We start from the raw sequence: 21,866 nt of genomic DNA on the forward strand, positions 1-21,866 counted from the left end.
ATACCCTTAAAAAGAATGGCTAATTTACCTCACTGAGTAGTTGAAGGAATCTCCAATAGAATCACAACAAATTATTTTGTTGGTTTACAGTGTTATTCATGGTTTGGAATTTTAACTAACAGTGACCACAGAAAGAATTCTTGGCTTGTCATGGTGGCACACGCCTGTTATCCCAGCACTTTGGGAGGCTGAGGTGGGAGGATTACTTGAGCCAGGAGTTTGAGACCAGCCTGCACAACATAGTGAGATCCTGTCTCTACAAAAAATTAGCTGGCTGTGGTGGTGCGGGCTGTAGTCCCAGTTATTTGGGAGGCTGATTTGGGAAGATCACTTAAGCCCAGAAGTTCAAGGCAGCAGTTAGCTGTGATCATGCCACTGCACCCCAGCCTTGGCAACAGAGTGAGACCCTATCTCTAAGAAATAAAAATAAAAAAATAATTCTTAAGACATTATCTCAAAAGAATAAGCTAGAATTACTTGTGCACATTATTTGGAAGGAAATGGCTAAAGATGGCATGTTGTCTTTGTGTAATGTATACATGTAAGATTCCCTATTTAATAGTTTGAGAGACTTAAATATTTTATTGCTAAAATACTATGGTTAAATATACATGTCACTAAATGCTAATATCTGTCAAAACATTCATTATAAAAAATTGTCTTTTGACATTTTAAGGTATCACCAATTTCCATTTGAAGAATTTATCATTAAAATTTCATGGGGAGGCAGCAGGGCCTGGGAATTAAATATGGTACAAGATGCCACAGACTGAGTTTCTACCCAAACTCTCCACCATAGTCACTGACTATGTACTAGCAGAAAGAGTCTATATGGAATTGTAAAATACACTGAAATTACAGTGTTTGAAAAGTGCCTAAGATAATGTGTTCTCTGAAAAGAGAAATCAATCATGTATAACTGTTACCTACTGGAATAAATAGGCTTAGTCACTACTCAGACCTTAATGTTATCTCAGTATACAATGTAATTTAATATTATCCCTTAATAATAATACTTAAGTAGCTGCCCGTGAATATATGAGCCTTATTATTTCATTGTAATTCAACCAGTAGCATCCAGAATTGTAAAAGGACAGGTGGATGGATGAATGGAGCGATGAGAGAATACCCTCCCCTCTACCTACCACTGCCTTCCTCTTTCATCCTTTCTAGAATTCAGAAGTGATGGCTGGAGCTCAGCAGCAGCCATAGAAACTGACATATAAACTTTAGAAGCCTTTAGGACTAAAAGTTCATGCTCCAAGGATGGCAGGGCTGGAAGACAGGAGGAGCTCTGGGCCTCTTAAGAGTGGGAGAAAGCCAAATGGATTTCGTTACATGCAGTTAAATTTAGCCCCAACCAATACACACTATGTGTCCAGTATTCACCTTATCTTTCCACCACATCATTTGAGTCATCACTTGCAAGTCTTTCAAAAGTTTTCATAAATATTAAAGTACAGAAAGACATCAACACATGCCTTGATAGTCTATGGCCTTGTGTCCATCTGGATGCTTTAAGAAATATTTTGAATTCTTATTTTTTAAGTAAATGCTAACGACATGGTAATCGTTTTTATAGATTTCCAATGAAGGGTGAGGTGCTTTGACAGCTGTCAGCGGAGTGTCAAACAGACTGTGGCAGTGAAAGATGAGGAGATTTAAAAGCCTTTATTCTTAGTGGCCTTAATTTCATCTGATACTAAGTAGCTAAAACTTGGCATCCACTGAGGAAAAGTGTTATTCTTCCCCATAACTCCTCTACCTATTCTTTCTTCCCTGCCTCAGATTTCCCAAGCTTCTCTCAGTTGTGTTCAGAGTTGGCCCCAGTTTAAGATATGATGCTGCCCTAGACTATGTGACAACCTCAACTGAATCTCTAAGTACCTATCCTTTCTAATATCTCATTTAATGGTACCCAGAATATTAAGTCATATTAGGACAAAGAGCCTATGATGCCTAGGAAGTTACTGGGCTTGCTCGGTGTGGTTGAAGGAATTCTGAGATGGTCCCTGTGATTTCCACCCACTGAATATAGCTCCCCTCTCCTTGAGTACAGGTAGAACCTGTGACTTGATTCTAACCAATAGAAGACAGAAATGGTGAAGGAGGCCAGGAGCAGTGGCTCGCGCCTTAATTCCAGCACTTTGGGAGGCCGAGGCGGGCGGATCATCTGAGGTCAGGAGTTCGAGACCAGCCTGGTCAACATGGAGAAACCTCATCTCTACTAAAAATACAAAAATTAGCTGGGCATGGTGGTGCGCACCTGTAATCCCAGCTGGGGAGGCTGAGGCAGGAGAATCACTTGAACCCAGGAGGCGAAGGTTGCAGTGAGCTGAGATTGCACCACTGCACTTCAGTCTGGGTGACTGAGACTCTACCTCAAAAAAAAAAAAAAAATAAGGTGAAAGAATATCCCTCTCATGATTATATTGTTACATTACGTGAGTCTGTCTTAGCAGTCTGAGTGTGAGGGCCTTGAAGAAGAAAAAAACCATGTTATAAGCAGCCTACAGAAAGCATCTCATGGTAAAGACCTAAAGGCAGTCTCTAAGTCCCCAGACTGTAAAAAGCCAGGGCCCTCTCTTATACAGTCCATAGCCCCAAAGAAATGAATTCTTCCAATAACCTAAATAAGCTTGGAAATGGATTCTTCCCTGGTCAAGCCTCTGGATAACAACACAGCCCAGTTGACACTTTGATTATAGCCTTGTGAGACACGGAGCAGAGGACCCAACTAAGTCAGCCATGATTCCTGACCCACAGAATTGTGAGATAGTAAATACGGCTCGTTTCAAGCCACTACGTTTGTGGTAATTTGTGAGGCATCACAAAAAAACTAACACCCCGTAAGCCTCCCTTGCTTTCACCTGATCTGGGACCCATTGCCCCAGTGTTGGTTTTTTCACTTAATTGAAGCCATTCTGAATCTCAGGAGCTCTAGTCCACAGCACTGAAGTTTCAGCTTTGGTCATTTTTCTTTCAAAGCACCACTACTTGCCACCATCCCAAACCCGCATATACTGCCTTGTAGATTTTACCTTGCTTTGGTGAATCTCATTTTTCCAAATATTCAGGCCGTAACTACTGCAATCCCCGTAGTCCTCACAAAGATTGGCACAAATACTGTTTGACCAGTAGTCAGATATTACCCATAGCCAGGTCTCCTGGTCAATAACCTCCTGCCAGCCTAGATTCCCCAAAATATTTCCCCAACACTCTGGCATCTCCAGTGCTTTGCATCACTACCTCTCACCTTATCAGAAGCTCTCCAGTGTTCATGGGTTTACCTGAACTCTAACTTGAGGTTAGCATCTGTTGGATATTGGACTTTCTTACCTGGTCATTTCCTTCAATTTTGCCTTTCTTATACATTTCAAAACCAAAACAGAACTCCACTCATTAATTCTAAGAAATAAAAGCAAATTCAGTATTAAATGCTTATTAATGTGGCCATGATACTAGTATTCCTATGTACTGATATAGTATGTATAATTTAATTTTGTATGTGTTCAATTTTGGGGAAACTGGAATGCACTATAACATCAAATGAATATTTGCAGTATATTTATATCCATTTTATAGATTTTGCAACAGCTTTTTCAAAAACAGATATAAATTATTTTTAACAGACCTAAATTATTATGAAGGGTTACAGTTAAGGAATCTGTTTTGTTTTATGACATGTTGTACACATATTTTACACATATCACACTTCTGTTATACATGAGGCGATCTTGAATAGGCCATTCTGAAATGACCATTTATTACAAAATTCATACAGAAAAAATATTATTCACCCTAACCTATCATAGTGTAGTTTTTAGAAATGAACTGCAGTGAAAATGGAATATTTACTATATCATATATAATGCAGTATATATTATAGCATTTACTGCCCCTAATAGCAAATTACTATCACTTTTAGCAATAATAGCTAGCATCTACCAACTATTTAGTGCTTACTAAGTGTCAAGCATTATTTTAAATGCTTTACATATATTATCTCATTAAATCTTGGGAAACATGACAAAAGAATTTTTTTTTTAATTTTTGTTTTTTTAGATGGAGTTTCTTGTTGCCCAGGCTGGAGTACAATGACGCAATCTCGGCTCACTACAATCTCTGCCTCCCAGGTTCGAGCGATTCTCCTGCCTCAGCCTCCTGAGTAGCTGGGATTATAGGTGTGCACCACCAAGCCCAGCTAATTTTTTTATATTTTATTGGTAGAGACAGGGTTTCGCCATGTTGGCCAGGCTGGTCTCAAACTCCTGACCTCAGGTGATCCGCCTGCCTTGGCCTCCCAAAATGCTGGAACTACAGGTGTGAGCCACCGTGCCCAGACGACAAAAGAATTATTAATCCCATTTTAAAGATGAGAAACTAGATTAAAGACACTAGATAAATTTTTAAAGATCACAAAATTGCAAACCAGGATTTAAACTCAGGCTGCTCTAACACCAGATTTCCTATCCTATTACGGTATATTAGCTCTAATTTGATTTCTATATGTGTATAGTCAAATAAATTGTGTTGCTGAATGGTTTCCTTTTTTTTATTTTTATTTTTTTTCTTGAGACAGTGTCTCACTCTGTCATCTAGACTGGAGTGCAGTGACATGCTCACTGCAGCCTCGACCTCCCAGGCTCAAGCAATCCTTCTACCTCAGCCTCCCTAGCTGGTAGGACTACAGGTGCATGCCTCTATCCCAGCTAATTTTTTTTTTTGTATGTTTTGTAGAGACGGATTTTCACCGTGTTGCCCAGGCTGATCTCGAACTCCTGGACTCAAGTGATCCACCTGCTTAGGCCTCCCAAAGTGCTGGGATTATAAGTGTGGGCCACTACACTTGGCCCCTGAATGGTTTCTAAAATCTTGTTGAACGGTCGCACTTGTGACAAATTTGGAATACAAATTTGGATTTTATTTTGGCTCATATATTATTTGGCTTTAATGTATATACATATACATGTTCACAGAAATTTTTGAATAAGTGGTTACTTATGAACAAAAAGAAAAACTAAATATAAAATAGACAATACTTTCAGGGCAATGGCTAACATTAACCATGAATATTAATATTAAGATCTTAGTGCCTGCAATTACACTGAATTTGTAAACCAAATCATGGATAACTGACATCTTAACAATATGGAGCTTTGCTATCCAAGAACACGGTATATTTTCCAATTTATTTAGGTCTTTAATTTCTTTCAACAATGTTTTGTAGTTCTCAGAATGTATTGCACATATTTTGTTAAATTCATCCCTTAGTTTTTCAAGGTTTTAATGCTATTATAAATAATATGATTTAACATTTTCAATTTTCAATTGTTTATTGCTAGTATAGAGAAACAAATTAATTTTTTTGTATATTGACCTGTACTCTTCAACTTTACTAAACTTACATATTAGTTCTAGTATTTTTTAAATAAATTCCTTAATATTTTCTACATGTACAATCATGTTTTTAAAACTTTTACTTTTCACTTCCTAATCTGTATTCTCTCTCATTTCTTTTTCTTGTTGTACTGTACGGTCTAAAACCTTCAGTACAACACTGAATTAAAGTAATGAGATCAGATAGCTTTACCTGGTTTTCTGTTTCAGAAAGAAATCATTTATGATGCTTTATAGCCATGAAGTCCTTTATAATTTATGAAAGCATCATGATTAACTATAATGTTGCTGTAGGTTTTTATAGGTACCTTTTTCAGAATGCGGAAGTTCCCTTATATGCCCAGTTTTCTCAGAATTTTTATTATGAATAGATATTGAGTTTTTTCAAATGCTTTTTCTGCATCAGTTGAAATTATCTTATGGTTTTGCTTTCTCATTATGTTAATATAAGTTACACTGACTTTTGAAAGTTAAACACCCTTGCATTCCAGAGATAATCCCCATTTGGTAACAACATATTATCCTTTTTTTTAATGTATTGTTGGAATCAATCTGCTAATATTTTCATAAGGATCTTTGTGTCTACCTTCACTGGAGTATTGGTATGTAGTTTTTTTTTCTTGTATTGCTTTTGTTTAGTTCAGATGTCAAGCCAATTCTTGGCTTATCAAATGAGTTAGGGAGTTCTCCACAATTTCTACTTTATTTCCCTACATACTCATCTCTCAGAGATAATTCCTTTTACTCAGTTTTTCGAAACCTCAGTTTGTAGCTCATTTATATTTTAAAATAGATAAATATACAAAATCAGTTTGCCTTGTAGAAATAATGTTGTAGAAGTATGAGCTATGAAAAGCAATGGGGAACAAAGAAATTCACAGTATCATTGGAAGCAGAATACTGTGTTCAGAAAACAAAACATTGATGTTTGCAAATAGGTCTCTGTGTGATGAAGAATACTGCTTATATAATGACTAGGTTTCAAAATAAAATGTGCAACATATTCAAAATCTTACGGAATTGTAATCATGTAGAAAATAATAGTTTTCTAATTGCTCTTAAGAGAATAATTTTTTTTTTTTTTGAGATGGAGTCTTGCTCTATCGCCCAGGCTGGAGTGCAGTGGTGTGATCTGGGCTCACTGCAAGCTCCACCTCCCGGGTTCATGCCATTCTTCTGCCTCAGCCTCCCGAGTAGCTGGGACTACAGGAGCCTGCCACCACACCCGGCTAATTTTTTTTGTATTTTTAGTAGAGACAGGGTTTCACCGTGTTAGCCAGGATGGTCTTGATCTCCTGACCTCATGATCCACCCGCCTTGGCCTCCCAAAGTGCTGGCAAGAGGGGATTTTTAAGGCTTTATGAGTTACTTACCAAATTCCTAATATTCTCAATTGATTTTATAATTTCTAAGGAAAATTGTCAACATAACTATATTTGTTAACCATGCACAGTGGGGAAAAATCGCCAATTTAATGTGTGAATAACAACCTCCAGATTGCTGAATAAGAAAAATTGAGCCTAAGTTACTTTAGGTTGAATAATTTCCCTTAGGAATATCACTCCTTCCTAACATTTCCAAATTTCTCTTACAATACTGTCACACCTATTAAACAATGCAACTTTCCAATGCATGATGTAACTATAAGCTATTCTGAGCAATATTTGTAGTTCTCTTGTCTTAATTGCTGAGACTCTATCGTAACCATTTTGTTATGTGGTGAATTCTGCATCAAGGAGAAGCACTTCTGTGGCAGTGCTGCCTCAAACTGCCCTACCAGAAGTCAGGTGACAATATGGAACATTAGACTGCATGGTAAGCTATTCATTAGACTGTTAACTTTGTCTGACCCAGTTTGTCAAGTGTTTGTGTTCTAAATGTCAATTCCTACTCACCTGGTTTTGCTAGACTAATAAGAAATTACCTTTTCCAAAGAAAAGAGAAGAAAGTAAGACTATCAGGAAAAGTAAACTCAGAAGTCTCTTGGGGGAAGAATTAAGTACTGGTGAGAATCATCTTAATTACCCAGTTGGGAGGTTAGTGAGACTCTTTCTTCATCCTGTTTGTCTAATACTACCCCTCATTTTAAACTTGGCTACTTACCCTCATCCCACAGCATATGCCAAATCTAAGAAAACTTTCCAGCAAAGCATTTTCTTAGACCAGATGAAATCACCTCTGTTTGAAAAAAGTCAATTCATATTATATAACTGAATGATAAAAAGTTAGTCATCATTTTTATATATGATCAGCTCATTATTATTATTTCCACCAGAAATAATCATAGAAAATTAAAAGGAGATTAAACTGGAAGCTTACTATCAATGTCATAAGAGATTAGTGATGGAGGAATTTACAGCTACTAAGAAGAGAGTTTAAAATGATCTATAAATGTCTTTCATTCATGATGATCCATTACCAAAGATAATCAAGAGTTGGCTAAAATACCTCCAAAACCTCATCAAACAGTTATATTAGAGGAAAGAGACTGATAGTTTCTAGTATACTAGAATGTTTTAGGTGAACAAAGAGTAAACACATGATTATGTCTCAGACCAAAAAACAATGTGCAACTTTAAATGTACTGCATAGCACTTTCCTTATTTACTATGAAACATATCTGCTTGCTGTGAACTGATTTGTCCAACCCCTAAGAGGTAGTTCCCCAGGTAATGAATTTTGCCAACATAATAAAAGATTATATGAAACGTCTTGAAATTAATCCAAAGGATGAAGCAGGTCAAAATATTTCATCTCATAAGTTTTAACTTTTATGTCAGTGCAGTCATTTTTTTAAATAATTTCAACTTTTATTTTAGATTCAGGTGGTACATATAAATGCTTCTTACATGGGTGTATTGCATGATGCTGAGGTTTGGGATATGAATGACCTGTCACCCAGATAACACTATCTGGGTGCATAGTACCCAAAAGTTAGTTTTTCAACCCTTCCTTCCCCTCCCTTTCCCCCTTCTATTAGTCCCCAGTGTCTATTCTTGCCATCTTTATGTCACTTATAAGTGAGAACAGGCGATATTTGGTTTTCTGTTCCTGTATTAATTTGCTTAGAATAATGGCCTCCAGCTGCATCCATGTTGCTGCAAAGGACATGATTTCATTCTTTTTATGGCTGCGTAGTATTCCATGGTGTATATGTACTACATTTTCTTTATCCTATGCATCATTGATGGGCACCTAGGTTGATTCCTTCTCTTTGCTATTGTGAATAGCACTGTGATGAATATACAAGTGCACATGTCTTTTTGGTAGAATGATTTATTTTCTTCTAGATATATACCCAGTAATAGGATTACTGGGTCAAATGGTAGTACTGTATTTTAGAGATGGGGTCTTACTCTGTCATTTAAGCTGGAGTGCAGTGGTGCAATCCTGGCTCACTGCAGCTTTGAACCCCTGGGCTCAAGGGATCCTTCTGCCTCAGCCTCCCAAGTAGCTGGGACTATGAGCATGTGCCACCATGCCCAGCTAATTTCCTTATTATGTTGTAGAGATGAGGTCTAGCCATCTTGCCAAGGCTGGTCTTGAACTCCAGGGCCCCAGCAATCCTTCCACCTTGGTTTCCCAAAGTGCTGGGATTACAGGCATGAGCCACTATGTCCAGCAGTAGTTCTAAGTTCTTTGAGAAATATCCAAACTGCTTTCCACAGCAGCTGAACTCATTTACATTACCACCAACAGTGTATAAGCATTGCCTTTACTCTGCAGCCTCACCAGCATCTGTTGTTTGACTTCACAATAATAACCATTTTGACTGGTGTGAGATGATATCTCACTGTGGTTTTGATGTGCATTTCTCTGATGACTGGTGATGCTGAGCATTTTTTCATGCTTGTTGGCTACTTGTATGTCTTCTTTCAAGAAGTGTCCATGTCTTTTGCCCACTTTTTAATGGGGTTGTTTTTGCTTGTTGATTTCCTTAAGTTCCTTATAGATTCTGAATATTAGATCTTTGTCAGGTGCATAGGTTGTGAATATTTTCTCTTATTCTGTAGGTTGCCTGCTTACTCTATTGATAGTTTCTTTTGCTGTGCAGATGCTCCTTAGTTTAATTAGGTCCCACTCGTCAATTTTTGTTTTTGCTGTAATTTTTTTGAGGACTTGGTCATAAATTCTTTCCCAAGGTTGATACCCAGAATGATGTTTCCTTGGCTTTCTTCTAGGATTTTTACAGTTTGAGGTGTTACACTTAAATTTTTTTTTTTAATTTTTTTTTTTTTATTATACTCTAAGTTTTAGGGTACATGTGCACATTGTGCAGGTTAGTTACGTATGTATACATGTGCCATGCTGGTGCGCTGCACCCACTAACGAGTCATCTAGCATTAGGTATATCTCCCAATGCTATCCCTCCCCCCTCCCCCGACCCCACCACAGTCCCCAGAGTGTGATATTCCCCTTCCTGTGTCCATGTGATCTCATTGTTCAATTCCCACCTATGAGTGAGAATATGCGGTGTTTGGTTTTTTGTTCTTGCGATAGTTTACTGAGAATGATGGTTTCCAATTTCATCCATGTCCCTACAAAGGACATGAACTCATCATTTTTTATGGCTGCATAGTATTCCATGGTGTATATGTGCCACATTTTCTTAATCCAGTCTATCATTGTTGGACATTTGGGTTGGTTCCAAGTCTTTGCTATTGTGAATAGTGCCGCAATAAACATACGTGTGCATGTGTCTTTATAGCAGCATGATTTATAGTCCTTTGGGTATATACCCAGTAATGGGATGGCTGGGTCAAATGGTATTTCTAGTTCTAGATCCCTGAGGAATCGCCACACTGACTTCCACAATGGTTGAACTAGTTTACAGTCCCACCAACAGTGTAAAAGTGTTCCTATTTCTCCACATCCTCTCCAGCACCTGTTGTTTCCTGACTTTTTAATGATTGCCATTCTAACTGGTGTGAGATGATATCTCATAGTGGTTTTGATTTGCATTTCTCTGATGGCCAGTGATGATGAGCATTTCTTCATGTGTTTTTTGGCTGCATAAATGTCTTCTTTTGAGAAGTGTCTGTTCATGTCCTTCGCCCACTTTTTGATGGGGTTGTTTGTTTTTTTCTTGTAAATTTGTTTGAGTTCATTGTAGATTCTGGATATTAGCCCTTTGTCAGATGAGTAGGTTGCGAAAATTTTCTCCCATGTTGTAGGTTGCCTGTTCACTCTGATGGTAGTTTCTTTTGCTGTGCAGAAGCTCTTTAGTTTAATTAGATCCCATTTGTCAATTTTGGCTTTTGTTGCCATTGCTTTTGGTGTTTTGGACATGAAGTCCTTGCCCACGCCTATGTCCTGAATGGTAATGCCTAGGTTTTCTTCTAGGGTTTTTATGGTTTTAGGTCTAACGTTTAAATCTTTAATCCATCTTGAATTGATTTTTGTATAAGGTGTAAGGAAGGGATCCAGTTTCAGCTTTCTACATATGGCTAGCCAGTTTTCCCAGCACCATTTATTAAATAGGGAATCCTTTCCCCATTGCTTGTTTTTCTCAGGTTTGTCAAAGATCAGATAGTTGTAGATATGCGTCATTATTTCTGAGGGCTCTGTTCTGTTCCATTGATCTATATCTCTGTTTTGGTACCAGTACCATGCTGTTTTGGTTACTGTAGCCTTGTAGTATAGTTTGAAGTCAGGTAGTGTGATGCCTCCAGCTTTGTTCTTTTGGCTTAGGATTGACTTGGCAATGCGGGCTCTTTTTTGGTTCCATATGAACTTTAAAGTAGTTTTTTCCAATTCTGTGAAGAAAGTCATTGGTAGCTTGATGGGGATGGCATTGAATCTGTAAATTACCTTGGGCAGTATGGCCATTTTCACGATATTGATTCTTCCTACCCATGAGCATGGAATGTTCTTCCATTTGTTTGTGTCCTCTTTTATTTCCTTGAGCAGTGGTTTGTAGTTCTCCTTGAAGAGGTCCTTCACATCCCTTGTAAGTTGGATTCCTAGGTATTTTATTCTCTTTGAAGCAATTGTGAATGGGAGTTCACTCATGATTTGGCTCTCTGTTTGTCTGTTGTTGGTGTATAAGAATGCTTGTGATTTTTGTACATTGATTTTGTATCCTGAGACTTTGCTGAAGTTGCTTATCAGCTTAAGGAGATTTTGGGCTGAGACGATGGGGTTTTCTAGATAAACAATCATGTTGTCTGCAAACAGGGACAATTTGACTTCTTCTTTTCCTAATTGAATACCCTTTATTTCCTTCTCCTGCCTGATTGCCCTGGCCAGAACTTCCAACACTATGTTGAATAGGAGCGGTGAGAGAGGGCATCCCTGTCTTGTGCCGGTTTTCAAAGGGAATGCTTCCAGTTTTTGCCCATTCAGTATGATATTGGCTGTGGGTTTGTCATAGATAGCTCTTATTATTTTGAAATACGTCCCATCAATACCTAATTTATTGAGAGTTTTTAGCATGAAGGGTTGTTGAATTTTGTCAAAGGCTTTTTCTGCATCTATTGAGATAATCATGTGGTTTTTGTCTTTGGCTCTGTTTATATGCTGGATTACATTTATTGATTTGCGTATATTGAACCAGCCTTGCATCCCAGGGATGAAGCCCACTTGATCATGGTGGATAAGCTTTTTGATGTGCTGCTGGATTCGGTTTGCCAGTATTTTATTGAGGATTTTTGCATCAATGTTCATCAAGGATATTGGTCTAAAATTCTCTTTTTTGGTTGTGTCTCTGCCCGGCTTTGGTATCAGAATGATGCTGGCCTCATAAAATGAGTTAGGGAGGATTCCCTCTTTTTCTATTGATTGGAATAGTTTCAGAAGGAATGGTACCAGTTCCTCCTTGTACCTCTGGTAGAATTCGGCTGTGAATCCATCTGGTCCTGGACTCTTTTTGGTTGGTAAACTATTGATTATTGCCACAATTTCAGAGCCTGTTATTGGTCTATTCAGAGATTCAACTTCTTCCTGGTTTAGTCTTGGGAGAGTGTATGTGTCGAGGAATGTATCCATTTCTTCTGGATTTTCTAGTTTATTTGCGTAGAGGTGTTTGTAGTATTCTCTGATGGTAGTTTGTATTTCTGTGGGATCGGTGGTGATATCCCCTTTATCATTTTTTATTGTGTCTATTTGATTCTTCTCTCTTTTTTTCTTTATTAGTCTTGCTAGCGGTCTATCAATTTTGTTGATCCTTTCAAAAAACCAGCTCCTGGATTCATTGATTTTTTGAAGGGTTTTTTGTGTCTCTATTTCCTTCAGTTCTGCTCTGATTTTAGTTATTTCTTGCCTTCTGCTAGCTTTTGAATGTGTTTGCTCTTGCTTTTCTAGTTCTTTTAATTGTGATGTTAGGGTGTCAATTTTGGATCTTTCCTGCTTTCTCTTGTAGGCATTTAGTGCTATAAATTTCCCTCTACACACTGCTTTGAATGCGTCCCAGAGATTCTGGTATGTGGTGTCTTTGTTCTCGTTGGTTTCAAAGAACATCTTTATTTCTGCCTTCATTTCGTTATGTACCCAGTAGTCATTCAGGAGCAGGTTGTTCAGTTTCCATGTAGTTGAGCGGCTTTGAGTGAGATTCTTAATCCTGAGTTCTAGTTTGATTGCACTGTGGTCTGAGAGATAGTTTGTTATAATTTCTGTTCTTTTACATTTGCTGAGGAGAGCTTTACTTCCAACTATGTGGTCAATTTTGGAATAGGTGTGGTGTGGTGCTGAAAAAAATGTATATTTTGTTGATTTGGGGTGGAGAGTTCTGTAGATGTCTATTAGGTCTGCTTGGTGCAGAGCTGAGTTCAATTCCTGGGTATCCTTGTTGACTTTCTGTCTCGTTGATCTGTCTAATGTTGACAGTGGGGTGTTAAAGTCTCCCATTATTAATGTGTGGGAGTCTAAGTCTCTTTGTAGGTCACTCAGGACTTGCTTTATGAATCTGGGTGCTCCTGTATTGGGTGCATATATATTTAGGATAGTTAGCTCTTCTTGTTGAATTGATCCCTTTACCATTATGTAATGGCCTTCTTTGTCTCTTTTGATCTTTGTTGGTTTAAAGTCTGTTTTATCAGAGACTAGGATTGCAACCCCTGCCTTTTTTTGTTTTCCATTGGCTTGGTAGATCTTCCTCCATCCTTTTATTTTGAGCCTATGTGTGTCTCTGCACGTGAGATGGGTTTCCTGAATACAACACACTGATGGGTCTTGACTCTTTATCCAACTTGCCAGTCTGTGTCTTTTAATTGCAGAATTTAGTCCATTTATATTTAAAGTTAATATTGTTATGTGTGAATTTGATCCTGTCATTATGATGTTAGCTGGTGATTTTGCTCATTAGTTGATGCAGTTTCTTCCTAGTCTCGATGGTCTTTACATTTTGGCATGATTTTGCAGCGGCTGGTACCGGTTGTTCCTTTCCATGTTTAGCGCTTCCTTCAGGAGCTCTTTTAGGGCAGGCCTGGTGGTGACAAAATCTCTCAGCATTTGCTTGTCTGTAAAGTATTTTATTTCTCCTTCACTTATGAAGCTTAGTTTGGCTGGATATGAAATTCTGGGTTGAAAATTCTTTTCTTTAAGAATGTTGAATATTGGCCCCCACTCTCTTCTGGCTTGTAGGGTTTCTGCCGAGAGATCCGCTGTTAGTCTGATGGGCTTTCCTTTGAGGGTAACCCGACCTTTCTCTCTGGCTGCCCTTAACATTTTTTCCTTCATTTCAACTTTGGTGAATCTGACAATTATGTGTCTTGGAGTTGCTCTTCTCGAGGAGTATCTTTGTGGCGTTCTCTGTATTTCCTGAATCTGAACGTTGGCCTGCCTTGCTAGATTGGGGAAGTTCTCCTGGATAATATCCTGCAGAGTGTTTTCCAACTTGGTTCCATTCTCCACATCACTTTCAGGTACACCAATCAGACGTAGATTTGGTCTTTTCACATAGTCCCATATTTCTTGGAGGCTTTGCTCATTTCTTTTTATTCTTTTTTCTCTAAACTTCCCTTCTCGCTTCATTTCATTCATTTCATCTTCCATTGCTGATACCCTTTCTTCCAGTTGATCGCATCGGCTCCTGAGGCTTCTGCATTCTTCACGTAGTTCTCGAGCCTTGGTTTTCAGCTCCATCAGCTCCTTTAAGCACTTCTCTGTATTGGTTATCCTAGTTATACATTCTTCTAAATTTTTTTCAAAGTTTTCAACTTCTTTGCCTTTGGTTTGAATGTCCTCCCGTAGCTCAGAGTATTTTGATCGTCTGAAGCCTTCTTCTCTCAGCTCGTCAAAATCATTCTCCATCCAGCTTTGTTCTGTTGCTGGTGAGGAACTGCGTTCCTTTGGAGGAGGAGAGGCGCTCTGCGTTTTAGAGTTTCCAGTTTTTCTGTTCCGTTTTTTCCCCATCTTTGTGGTTTTATCTACTTTTGGTCTTTGATGATGGTGATGAACAGATGGGTTTTCGGTGTAGATGTCCTTTCTGGTTGTTAGTTTTCCTTCTAAGAGACAGGACCCTCAGCTGCAGGTCTGTTGGAATACCCTGCTGTGTGAGGTGTCAGTGTGCCCCTGCTGGGGGGTGCCTCCCAGTTAGGCTGCTTGGGGGTCAGGGGTCAGGGACCCACTTGAGGAGGCAGTCTGCCCGTTCTCAGATCTCCAGCTGCGTGCTGGGAGAACCACTGCTCTCTTCAAAGCTGTCAGACAGGGACACTTAAGTCTGCAGAGGTTACTGCTGTCTTTTTGTTTGTCTGTGCCCTGCCCCCAGAGGTGGAGCCTACAGAGGCAGGCAGGCCTCCTTGAGCTGTGGTGGGCTCCACCCAGTTCGAGCTTCCCGGCTGCTTTGTTTACCTAAGCAAGCCTGGGCAACGGCGGGCGCCCCTCCCCCAGCCTCGTTGCCGCCTTGCAGTTTGATCTCAGACTGCTGTGCTAGCAATCAGTGAGATTCCGTGGGCGTAGGACCCTCCGAGCCAGGTGTGGGATATAGTCTCGTGGTGCGCCGTTTCTTAAGCCGGTCTGAAAAGCGCAATATTCGGGTGGGAGTGACCCGATTTTCCAGGTGCGTCCGTCACCCCTTTCTTTGACTCGGAAAGGGGACTCCCTGACCCCTTGCGCTTCCCAGGTGAGGCAATGCCTCACCCTGCTTCGGCTCGCGCACAGTGCGCACACACACTGGCCTGCGCACACTGTCTGGCACTCCCTGGTGAGATGAACCCGGTACCTCAGATGGAAATGCAGAAATCACCCGTCTTCTGCGTCACTCACGCTGGGAGCTGTAGACCGGAGCTGTTCCTATTCGGCCATCTTCGTATGACTCTTGTAGATAACCTACACTTAAATTTTTAATCCATCTTGAGTTGATTTTGTATATGGTGAAAGGTAAGGGTTCAGTTTCTTTCTTTTGCATATGTCTAGCCAGTTACCCCAGCACCATTTATTTAATAGGGAGTCCTTTCCCCATTGCTTATTTTTGTTGGGTTTGTCAAAGATCAGATGGCTGTAGGTATACAGTTTGATTTCTGGGTTCTCTATTCTGTTCCATTGGTCTACATGTCTGTTTTTGTACTAGTACCATGCTCTTTTGGTTACTGTGGACTTACATTACTAGTTTGAAGTCAGGTAATGTGATGCGTCTGACTTTGTTCTTACAGCTTGGGATTGTTTTGGCTATTCGGGCTCTTTTTCTGTTTCCATACGAATTTTAAAATAGATTTTTCTGATTCTGTGAAAAATGATATTGGTAGTTTGATAGGAATAATACTGAATCTGTAAATTGCTTTGGGCAGTACGGTATTTTCAGGATATTAATTCTTCCAATCAATGAGCATAGGATGTTTTTCCATTTGTTTGTGTCATCTCTCATTTCTTTTAGCAGTGTTTTATAGTTCTCCTTGTAGAGATCTTCTATCGCCTTGGTTGGGTGTATTTTTAGGTGTTTTTTTTTTTTTTTAGTTTTTGTTTGTTTTTGTTTTGGTGTGTGGCTATTGTAAATGGGATTGTGTTCTTGCTTGGGCCCTCAGCTTGAATATTACTGGTGCACAGAAATGTTACTGATTTTTGGACATTGATTTTGTACTCTGAAACTTTATGGAAGTCATTTATCAGTTCCAGGAGGCTTTAGGGTTTTCTAGGTATACAATCATATCATCAGTGAAAAGAGAAGTTCGACTTCTTCTTTTCCTATTTTGGATGACTTTTATTTCTTTCTTTTGCCTGATGGCTCTGGCTAGGAATTCCAGTACAATGTTGAACAGGAGTAGTGAGAATGGGCATCCTTGTCTTGTTCCATTTCTCAAGGGGAATGCCTCCTGTTTTTACTCATTCAGTATGATGCTGTCTGTGGGTCTGTCATAGATGGCTCATATTATTTTGATGTATTTTCCTTTAATGCCTAGTTTCTTCAGGGTTTTTCTCATGAAGAGATGTTGGATTTTATTGAAGGCTTTTTCCAAATCTATTGAGATGATCACATGGTTCTTTTTAATTCTGTTGATGTGGTGAATCACATTTATTGACTTGCGTATGTTGAACCAAACTTGCATCCTAGGAATGAAGCCTACTTGATTGTGGTGAATTAACTTTTTGATACACTGTTGGATTTTGTTTGCTAGTATTTTGTTGAGGATTTTCCACCTTAACATAGATAAGCATAGGCAATGAGTTTCTCAGGGATAATGGCCTAAAGTTTTCTTTTTTCATTGGGTCTTTACCAGGTTTTGGTATCAGGATGATGCTGGTTTCATAGAATGAGTTAGGGAAGAATTCCTCCTCCTCAACTTCCTTTTTTTAATAGTTTCAGTACAATTGGTACCAGGTCTTACTTGTATGACTGATAGAATTTGGCTGTGAGTCCATCTGGTACAGAGCTTTGTTTGTTTGTTTGTTTGCTTGTTTGTTTAGGCAGAGTCTTGCTCTGTCACCCAGGCTGGAGTGCAGTGGTGCGATCTCGGCTCACTGTAACCTCCACCTCCCAGGCTCAAGCGATTCTCCTGCCTCAGTCTCCCACATAGCTGGGATTACAGGTACCTGCCACCATGCCCAGCTAATTTTTGTATTTTTAGTAGGGACAGGGTTTTGCCATGTTGGTCAGGCAGGTCTCGAACTCGACCTTAAGTGATCTGCCTGCCTCAGCCTCCCAAAGTGCTGGGATTACAGGCGTGAACCACTGCATCCAGCCTCTGGGGCTTTTTTTAATTGGCCAATTTTTTGTTACTGATTCAATTTTGGAACTTGATATTGGTCTGTTCAGGGTTTCAATTTCTTCCTGTTTTCAATTTCGGGAGGTTGTGTGTTTCCAGGAATTTATATACTTCCTACAGATTTTCTAGTTTGTGTGCATATAGGTGTTCATATTTGTCTCTGAGGATGCTTTATGTTTCTGTGGGATGTGTTGTAATGGCACTTTTGTTGTTTCCGATTGTGCTTATTTGGATCTTCTCTCTTTTTTTCTTTGTTAATTTAGCTAACAGTGTATTGCTCTTGTTCATCCTTTTAAAGAACCAACTTTTGGTTTTGTGAATTCTTTGGATTTGGGGGTTTCAATTGCTTTCACTTTCACGCTGATTTTAGTTATTTCTTTTCTTTTGCTAGCTTTGGGGTTCGTTTGTTCTTATTTTTCTAGTTCCTGTAGGTGTGATGTTATATCATTAATTTGAAATTATTTTTTACTTTCTGAGGTAGGCATTTAGTGCTATAAACTTTCCTCTTAACACTGCTTTTGATACATCCCAGAGATTTTGGTATGTTGTATCTGGTTTTCATTTATTTCAAATAATATTTTGATTTCTGCCTTAATTTCATTCTTTTCCCAAAAATCATTCAGGAGCAAATTGTTTAATTTCCAGGTAATTTTGTCATTTTGGGAGATCTTCTTGGTACTGATTTCTATTTGTATTCCACTACGGTCTGAGAGTATGTTCATATGATTTCAGCTTTTTTGAATTTATTAAGACTTTTTTGTGGTCTGTCTTTGAGCATGTTCGGGGTGTAGATGAGGAGAATGTGTAGGCTGCGATTGATGGGTTGAGCGCTCTGTAGATGTTTGTTAGGTCCAATTGGTCAAGTATCAAACTTAAGTTTAAAGTTTCTTGGTTAGTTTTCTAACCTAACCTCAATGATCTGTCTAATACTGTCAATGGGATGTTAAAGTCTCCCACTATTACTGAGTAGCTATCTAAGTATTTTCCTAAGTCTAGAAGTAGTTGTTTTATGAATCTGGGTGCTCCAATGTTGGGTGCTTATATATTTAGGATAGTGAAGTCTTCTTGCTGAATTGAACCCTTCATCATTATGTAATGCCCTTCTTTTTCCTTTTTTCCTGTTGTTCATTTAAAGTCTGTTTTATCTGATACAAGAATAGTGACCCCTGCTTTTTTTTGTTTTCCATTTGCATGACAGATCTTTTCCCAACCCCCAAAATAAAGGGTTGGGAAAAGATCTGTCTGTCGTGCAAATGGAAGGACTATGGATATCCTTAGAGGTGAGATGGGTCTCTTGAAGAGAGGGGATGGATGGTTTTTCTTTTCTAATTCAACCTTGCAACTCTGTGCCTTTTAAGTGGGGTGCATAAACTGTTTACATTCAAGGTTAATATTGATATGTGAGGTTTTGATCCTATAATGAAGTTTGTTGGTTGGTTGCTTTGTAGTTGCTATTGTGTGGTTGCTTTATAGGGTCTGAGGGCTATGTACGTAAGTGTGTTTTTGTGGTAGCAGGTATCTTTCTTTTTGTTTCCAAGTTTAGAACCTGCTGAAGGGTCTCTTGTAAGACTTGGTGTAATAGTAACTAATTCCCTTGCACTTGCTTTTCTGAAAAAGATTTTATTTCTTCTTCACTTATGAAGCTTAGTTTGGCAGGATATGAAATTCTTGTTTGGAATTTCTTTTCTTTAAGAATGCTGAAAATAGGCACCTAATCTCTCTTGTCTTGTAAGATTTCTGCTGAGAAGTTTGCTGTTAGCCTGATGAGGTTCTCTTTGCATGTGATCAGATAGTCACTGCTTAATCCCAGTATTTCTGGTAAAGAAAGGAATGGTGAACTCTGAAAAGAGTGAAGGGTTGTCAGAAATATTATGGATAAAGGATATATAATCTGTCAAAGGTTTTGACTAATTAAATATGGACTTCCTATATGTGATTGAAAGTGAGAAGGAAAAATAAAGTCAAAGCAATTCTCAGGTTTCTAATAAAAAATGATAGTGTTAGTCACTGAAACTGGAAACCTAAAAGAAGAAGTAAGCATTTAGAAATGTGGAATTACATTTCATGATAGATGTCTGGAATGAAGAAATATCTGAATGTTATAAGAATATGAGGAATAAGATAATTAGAGGATTTGGGTAAGTCTACCTAGGAGACAACTTGGAATGAAGAAGAAGGTAGCGGATAGAGCATTACTGTCTGGCATCAACTAAGGGTTTATTTTAACAATCAAGAGCATCCAAGTAGACTATAAAGGCTCAGTTTAAAACACAACTCAAGCCGGGCGTGGTGGCACATGGCTGTAATCCCAGCACTTTGGGAGGCCGAGGCGGGCGGATCATGAGGTCAGGAGATGGAGACCATCCTGGCTAATACGGTGAAACCCCATCTCTACTAAAAATACAAAAAAAATTAGCGGGTGTCTGTAGTCCCAGCTACTTGGGAGGCTGAGGCAGGAGAAAGGCATGAACCCAGGAGGCGGAGCTTGCAGTGAGCTGAGATTGCGCCACTGCGCTCCAGCCTGGACAACAGAGCAAGACTACGTCTCAAAACAAAACAAAACAAAACAAAAACAAAAACAACTCAAAGTGTAAGCACCCAAAGGGAAGGTACTTGTATTGCTTGCCATTGTATATATCCATAGCACCTATTACTCTACTTGGAACACAGTACATGGCCATTTGTTAAATAAATGAACAAACAAACCAAGATAGTGATGTTATGAAAACCAAATGCAAAGGGAGTTTCAAGAAGAAGGAATCACTTATAGTGGCATTAAGATGTCCTTGGATTAGGCAATTAGAAAGTCATTAAAAACCTCATGATGAATAGCTGCTGTGGAGTTTTGTTGGTAGAACCCAGATTGAGATGGATAGAGGAGCAAATGGATAATGAAGCAGTGGAGATGTTGAAAACCGCTTTCACCTTCAAAAATACTGTCAAAGAGCAGGAATTATTAATAGATAAAACTAGAGGAGGAAGTATTATTGAGAACACTTTTTGTAAGTTAGGAGAGATGTAAGCAGGTTTATATGTAGGGAAGGAAGCCAAAGGAAGGAAGAAATTCAAGAAGCAAAAAAGGGCATGACTGATAAGGTATGGTCCCTGGGACATGGAGGAGATGAGTTCTAAACCAGAAATGGAGGAATTAGTTTAGGACCAAAAATGGGACTTCTCTATCTATAGAATGTTAAATTGGGGCAGTGAAAGTAAATGAAGAGATGATGATAACCCCCAGATTTATGATATAAGGTGGTGATCTCTCTCTTTTACATTTGTAAGGAGGTAAGAATAAGAGGAAATACAGGCATGATTTCTGGTGTAAAAGTAGAAAGTTTGAGAACACTTATTCTCAATATGTAGCAATGCTGCTATCTTTTTAAAAGGGTTAGAAGTGAAGTAGGAATTCTGAAGAGAGTGGTAGATATTTGGAGCAAACCCTGGCACTAGATTATGGAGTTTAACAAGAATATGTGAAAAGAGCTACTGCTATCCAATGGAAGAGTAAATAATAAATTCTAGTTGCTTGCACTAATCTTCTCAATGATTGAGTTTTCTTCGGTGGCATTCAGTGTTTTTAGTATAAAAACCAAAAAATAAAGAGCAGACTTAGTCTAAGGCTAGCTGTTGGCAGAGAAGTATGATAGAATGGATAAAAACCAGGGAGTTAAAAGCACTTGGAAGCTAGCCTGGGAGGAGGTTGGCAATCGTTTAAGTTGGTGGAGATAACTGAAGCGCTTTAGCATTTGAACAGCAAGGGGAATCAGAGGGACAAAAGGAGTATGGGAGCCTCAAGGATAAGAGATCATGGTTTTGAATCATAAAAGGCAGATTTAGCTGGGTGTGGTTCCAAACTGAGGTGGGAGCCTCAGATGCAGATAGAGGTTGGCTCAGGTGCTTACCTGAAATAGCCAGAAGCAGCAAGAGCTAGAAGATACCTTTGAGCACTCAGGGCACAAATTAAAAATGCTAATATTTGTCTGGCACACTGGAATACACAAATGAGGCTGGCTGAAGCTGCAAATGACTAGATCAAGGGGTCCTCCTGCTGGAATGACATAATATTCTAGACATGCATGTAACCCCCTCCAACCTATTCCCTGCCTGTGCTCCAGAACACACAACTTAGGAAAACTCTGCCTTTAGGAAACACTGAAGGTTGAAATAAGGAAAATCGGGTGATTAATGATGTAGCTCAGAAAGTTAAGGTGAGAGATTCAAAACAAAGATAATCAGATCTGAATCCAGACAAACACTGGACTGAACATGAGTGAAAACAGAAATGATAGGAATAAAGGAAAAGTCAATGACTGTTGTTACAAATTGGTC

At 38.9% G+C, this 21,866-nt stretch overlaps 1 protein-coding gene across 12 annotated transcripts in view, besides 1 other annotated feature; it reads right to left on the reverse strand.

Annotated features, from left to right (window-relative positions):
- Positions 1-21,866, reverse strand: part of IMMP2L (inner mitochondrial membrane peptidase subunit 2) — an 899,849-nt gene that overhangs the window by 34,736 nt on the left and 843,247 nt on the right. The gene's annotated exons all lie outside the window — the stretch shown is intronic.
- Positions 21,038-21,823: an enhancer, noted in NCBI's record as "OCT4-NANOG-H3K27ac hESC enhancer chr7:110358473-110359258 (GRCh37/hg19 assembly coordinates)". NCBI's record gives its function as "activates a minimal SCP1, AML or CMV promoter by ChIP-STARR-seq in naive and primed H9 embryonic stem cells {active_cell/tissue: H9 hESC(naive and primed)}" and the evidence as "EXISTENCE:reporter gene assay evidence [ECO:0000049][PMID:30033119]".

This window comes from Homo sapiens, chromosome 7, assembly GCF_000001405.40.
Source record: "Homo sapiens chromosome 7, GRCh38.p14 Primary Assembly".
NCBI classification, from domain to species: Eukaryota; Metazoa; Chordata; class Mammalia; order Primates; family Hominidae; genus Homo; species Homo sapiens.